Source organism: Homo sapiens, chromosome 21 (genome assembly GCF_000001405.40).
Source record: "Homo sapiens chromosome 21, GRCh38.p14 Primary Assembly".
NCBI classification, from domain to species: domain Eukaryota; kingdom Metazoa; phylum Chordata; class Mammalia; order Primates; family Hominidae; genus Homo; species Homo sapiens.
The window spans coordinates 21898186-21904393 of NC_000021.9; the positions used below are offsets into that span (position 1 = coordinate 21898186).

General features: G+C 44.7%; 1 annotated feature.

The window, feature by feature from the left end:
- Positions 1991 to 2191: a silencer, noted in NCBI's record as "peak4379 fragment used in MPRA reporter construct". NCBI's record gives its function as "represses an SCP1 promoter by STARR-seq MPRAs in K562 erythroleukemia cells {active_cell/tissue: K562}" and the evidence as "EXISTENCE:reporter gene assay evidence [ECO:0000049][PMID:32103011]".

A 6208-nucleotide genomic window follows, 5' to 3' on the forward strand; every position in this document is an offset into this window, starting at 1 on the left:
AAGCTTGCTACTTGCACTTTAATTTTATATTTTATTCTCAAGGATACATAAAATATCAAAATACTTTTATTGTATTTCCTGTTTGATAGGTATAATGGTTAATTTTAGGAGTCAACTTTACTGGATTAAGGCATACGTCCATAGCTGGTAAAGCATTATTTCTGAGGATGTCTGTGAGAGTGTTTTTCTGAAGAGATTGCCATTTGCATTGGTGGATGAGTTAAGGAAGGTCTTCCCTCAATGTGGGCAGGTACCATTCAATTATGTGAGGGCCCAGGTAGAAAAAAACAGGCAAAGTGAATATGCTCTCTGTTCTGGAGCTGTGACACACTGCTTCTCTTGTCCTTTGGCATCAGAACTCCAGATCTGGTCTTTGGACTCTGGGGTTTGCACCAGTGGCCCCCTAGTTTCATAAGCTTTTGACCTTGGATTGAAAGCTACACGATCAGCTTCCCTGGTTCTGAGGCATTTGTACTTGAACTGAGACACATTACCAATTTTCAGGGGTCTCTAGCTTGCAGAGGACCTATCATGGGAATCATCAGTTTCCATAATCACATGAGCCAATTTCCCGAATAAATCCTCTATCTATCTATCTATCTATCTATCTATCTATCTATCTATCTCTCTGTCTATCATCTGTCTGTCTGTCTATTATCTATCTATCTGTCTATCTATATCTATCTAATTGGTTTTGTCTGTTAGGAGAACCCTGACTAATACAATATGTTAAAAATACAATATGTTAACACTGGACTCCCATAGGGTCTAATGTTATAGCTTCAGGACTGAATATATGTAAAGGAATTTAAAAATAAATACCTTGCCGATGAGTTGTTCAGGCCCTAGGAAGTTCTCTTGTGAACCTCTAACATGTATATTGCAATAGAATTTTCTGGACACTCACATTATATTATAAGTCTGCCTTGCCCCATGACCTTGAGTTAGGAGAAACATATAACAAAACCATATTACATCCACCATCACCCAAAATAAATTTAACTCCTCAGCATATCAATGATATTATCTGAGACTGTGCAGCTTTGAAATGCACATATATGTCACCACTACTGTGTGGTAGCTTTAACCTAGAAGGAAGGAGTAGTTAATCTGCAGCGTTCATAAGTAGGACTAGAAGGAATGTGAAGCAAGGAATAGAATGAGGATGAAAGTCTTAGAAAACATGAAAAAAAATAAACTGTTTTAACTGGATAAATATTTAATGCCATATATGTTTAAACATCAGAATTGATACAAATGCCCTAGTGCATTTTGTGTTGCTATAGCAAAATTCCGAGATGGGATAATTCACAATAATTTATACAGAAAAGAAAGTTTGGCCAGGCGCAGTGGCTCACGCCTGTAATTCCAGCACTTTGGGAGGCTAAGGTGGGCGGATCACAAGGTCAGGAGATGGAGACCATCCTGGCCAATATGGTGAAACCCTGTCTCTACTAAAAATACAAAAAAAAAACAAAAAAAAAAAAACTAGCCAGGTGTGGTGGTGGGTGCCTGTAGTCCCAGATACTCCAGAGCCTGAGGCAGGAAAATTGCTTGAACCCGGCAGGCAGGGGTTGCAGTAAGCCAAGATTGTGCCATGGCACTGCAGCCTGGGCGACAGAGTGAGACTCCGTTTAAGAAAAAAAATATAAAAAGGCCGGGCGCTGTGGCTCACACCTGTAATCCCAGCACTTTGGGAGGCTGAGGCGGGCAGATCACAAGGTCAGGAGATCGAGACCATCCTGGTCTAACTCAGTGAAACCTCGTCTCTACTAAAAATACAAAAAATTAGCCAGGTGTGGTGGCGGGCGCCTGTGGTCCCAGCTACTCTGGAGGCTGAGGCAGGAGAATGGTGTGAACCCGGGAGGCAGAGCTTGCAGTGAGCTGAGATCGCACCACTGCACTCCAGCCTGGGCAACAGAGCGAGACTCCATCTCAAAGAAAAAAAAAAAAAGAAAGAAAGAAAGGAAAAAAGTGTATTTGGCTCATAATTCTGGAGGCTGGGGTGTCCCAGAAGCATAGTGTTAGCATTTACTAGGCTTCTGGTGAGGGCCTTTTGCTGAGTCATAACATGGTGGGGAAGTAAAAACAAAAGGGCAAGCAAGCACGTACAAAGAGGCAAACCATGAGGGGTAACCTCTCTTAATAATAATCTGCTCTCACAGTAACTAATAGAGCTCCGTGAGAAGAGAACTCAGTCCTGTGAGACTACATCAGCTCTTTCATTAAGGGTGAATCCCTCATAACCCAAATGCCTCTTAACGATCCCATGACCTCTCACTCAGTAGCATTACATTGACTTTTTTCCTTACTTTTTTTTTTTTTTTTTTTTTGAGCCGGAGTCTCACACTGTCTCCTGGGCCGAGTGCAATGGCCAGATCTTGGCTCACTGCACTCTCCGCCTCCCGGGTTTAAGCGATTCTCCTGCCCCAGCTTCCCAAGTAGCTAGGATTACAGGCATGTGCCATCACTCCCTGCTAATTTTTTGTATTTTTAGTAGAGACGGGGTTTCACTATGTTGGCCAGGCTGGTCTTGAACCCTTGAGCTCAGGTGATCCACCCTCCTCAGCCTCCCAAAGTGCCCAGCCTATATTGGCTTTTTTTAACATGAGTTATGACAGGGACAAACACATCCAAACTATAGCAAATGGCATATCAAAATTTTTAAATTTTAAATAAAAAAAGATCTGACAATGCTGTGAGCACCCAGAATTCTCACTTTTCCTGCCTGAATATCAAGATTCCTTGATTGTTACCTATAGGAGAATTTTCGGAGAGGATATTAGGTTGTTCTTGCGTACAAATTAAGACCTGACATTCTGATATATTAAAGATATGAAGTCTGATGTTAACGAATATCTGGAAGTGAGGATAGTTGTACTTTTTTAAATATGTTTTAAATTCCTTTGACTTTGCAATGCTTTCCCACACAGGCTTAGCTAAATTTTCAGCCAGGCACGGTGGCTCACTCTTATAATCCTAGCACTTTGGGAAGCCAATGTAGGTGGATTGCCTGAGCTCAAGAGTTCAAGACCAGCCTGCATAACATGCTGAAACCCTGTCTCTACTAAAATACAAATAATTAACCAGGTGTGCTGGCCGGCGCCTGTAGTCTAAGGTACTTGGGAAGCTGAGGGACAAAATTGCTTGAACCTGGAGGCAGAGGTTGCTTTGAACCAAGATAGCGTCTCTACATTCCAGGCTGATGCTACAGAGCGAGACTCCGTCTCCAAAAATTAAAATTAAAATAAACAAAACAAATAATAAATGAATTTTCTTTTATTACTTTCTGAAGATCTTCCTTTTAGTGTGACTGGCAAGTTTAGTCTCCTTATTGTTTTGTGATTTCTGATCTTTGACTTTTAAAGTTCATTAACTTTGGAGTTGCTTGTGCTGTAGGAATCCTGACTTTATTTTAAAAATGACCTCAACAGATACTTTACTTTCTTTAGCCAATCAGTAATTCATTTCAAAATGTCATTTAAAAATATGTTATCTCACAACTTAATTCTCCTTTTAAAAGTTGTTTCAGCTGCATGCAGTGGTGTATGTTGTAGTCCCAGCTACTCGAGAGACTGGGTCAGGATTTTTGCAGTAAAAATAGGTAGATTATAATGATTTGTTTAATACTTTTTGTTCACCATACTGTTGTTAAATTGTAATCATTTTCTCTATTCATTCAATTAGAGAAGTTATTGGCTGGGCACCACGGCTCATGCCTGTACTCTCATCTCTATCGAGGGCCAAGGTATATATCGCTTGAGCCCAGGAGTTTGAGACCAGCCTGGACAACATGGCAAAACTTCATCTCTACTATATATATATATTTTTTTATATATTATAGTTTATAATATATAAATGTGTATATATATTATTTATGTATATATAAATAATAGCCAGGTGTGGTAGCATGCACCTGCATTTTCAGCTACTCAGGAGGCTGAGGTTGGAAGATAGATTGCTTCAGCTCAGGAGGTGGAGGTTCTGTACTCCAGCCTGGGCAACAGAGCCAGACCCTGTCACAAAAAAAAGAGAAAGAGAGAGAGAAATGAGAGGTGACAGCGTGCTGACAGTCCTCAGAGCCCTTGCTTGCTCTCGGTACCTCCCCTGCCTGGGCTCCCACTTTGGCGGCACTTGAGGAGCCCTTCAGCCCACCGCTGCACTGTGGGAGCCCCTTTCTGGGCTGGCCAAGGCTGGAGCCCACTCCCTCAGCTTGCAGGGAGGTGTGGAGGGAGAGGCGCAAGCAGGAACCGGGGCTGCGTGCGGCGCTTGCGGGCCAGCTGGAGTTCCGGGTGGGCGTGGGTTTGGCGGGCCCCGCACTCGGAGAAGGCCAGCCGGTCAGCCCTGCCTGCCCCGGGCAATGAGGGACTTAGCGCCCCTGGGCCAGTGGCTGCGGAGGGTGTACTGGGTCCCCCAGCAGTGCCAGCCCACTGACGCTGCGCTCGATTTCTCACCGGGCCTTAGCTGCCTTCCCGCTGGGCAGGGCTCGGGACCTGCAGCCCACCGTGCCTGAGCCTCCCACCCTCTCCGTGGGCTCCTGTGCGGCCGGAGCCTCCCCGACGAGTGCCACACCCTGCTCCACGGGGCCCAGTCCCATGGACCACCCAAGGGCTGAGCAGTGCAGGTGCACCATGCAGGACTGGCAGGCAGCTCCACCTGCAGCCCCCGTGTGGGATCCACTAGGTGAAGCCAGCTGGGCTCCTGAGTCTGGTGGGATCGTGGAGAGTCTTTATGTTTAGCTCAGGGATTGTAAACACACCAATCAGCACCCTGTGTTTAGCTCAAGGTTTGTGAGTGCACCAATCGACACTCTGTATCTAGCTGCTCTGGTGGGACCTTGGAGAACCTTTATGTCTAGCTCAGCGATTGTAAATACACCAATCGGCACTCTGTATCTAGCTCAAGGTTTGTAAACACACCAATCAGCACCCTGTGTTTAGCTCAAGGTTTGTGAATGCACCAATCGACACTCTGTATCTAGCTGCTCTGGTGGGGCCTTGGAGAACCTGTGTGTCCATACTCGGTATCTAACTAATCTGATGGGGACGTGGAGAACCTTTGTGTCTAGCTCAGTGATTGTAAACGCACCAATCAGCACCCTGTCAAAACAGACCACTTGGCTCTCCTATCAGCAGGATGTGGGTGGGGCCAGATAAGAGAATAAAAGCAGGCTGCCCGAGCCAGCAGTGGCAACCCGGTAGAGTCCCCTTCCACACTGTGGAAACTTTGTACTTTCGCTCTTTGCAATAAATCTTGCTACTGCTCACTCTTTGGGTCCACGCTGCTTTTATGAGCTGTAACACTCACCGCGAAGATCTGCAGCTTCACTCCTGAGCCCAACGAGACCATGAGCCCACCGGGAGGAACGAACGACTCCAGAAGCGCCACCTTAAGAGCCGTAACACTCACCGCGAAGGTCTGCAGCTTCACTCCTGAGCCAGCGAGACCACGAACCCACCAGAAGGAAGAAATTCCGAACACATCCGAACATCAGAAGGAACAAACTCCAGACGCGCCACCTTAAGAGCTGTAGCACTCACCGCGAGGGTCCGCGGCTTAGTTCTTGAAGTCAGTGAGACCAAGAACCCACCAATTCCAGACACAGAAAGAAGGAAGGGAAGGAAGGAAGGAAGGGAAGGAGGGAAGGGAGGGAAGGAAGGGAAGGAGGGAAGGAAAGAAGGGATGGAGGGAGGGGAGGGAAGGGGAGGGAGGGAGGGAAGGGAGGGGAGGGAGGGAGGGAGAAAAAAAATCTTGCTACTAAAATTTTTTCTATTGAAAATTTCTTTGCCTTTTTCAAAACTTGTACACAATAACTGACACTATTTAACAATATGCTAAATATGGTAAGCAATAAAAATAAACCAAAACCTTTGCTGATGTAACATATTACAGACACCAAAAACTGATCTCTTATAAAAAGTGATATATGAAGTCTGTGGTACATGAATTCTGTCTCTTTTCATTTATCAAAGTCTAATTATTCTCTAGGTACAAATAGATAACTCTTGTTTCCCCAGGGCATAGGTATGTAAGCAGAGCACTACCTAAAAACAGATGAAAAATAAATAGATCTACTCAAGTGAAAAAGTTTAGCAAGTGCATCTATTGTGTATGGCACCAATTATTTTACGAACTTGCTGCTTTGTATTCAATACAAAAATGACAAATGAGGACCCTAGTACATTTCTATATAGGCCTTGTCTATGTA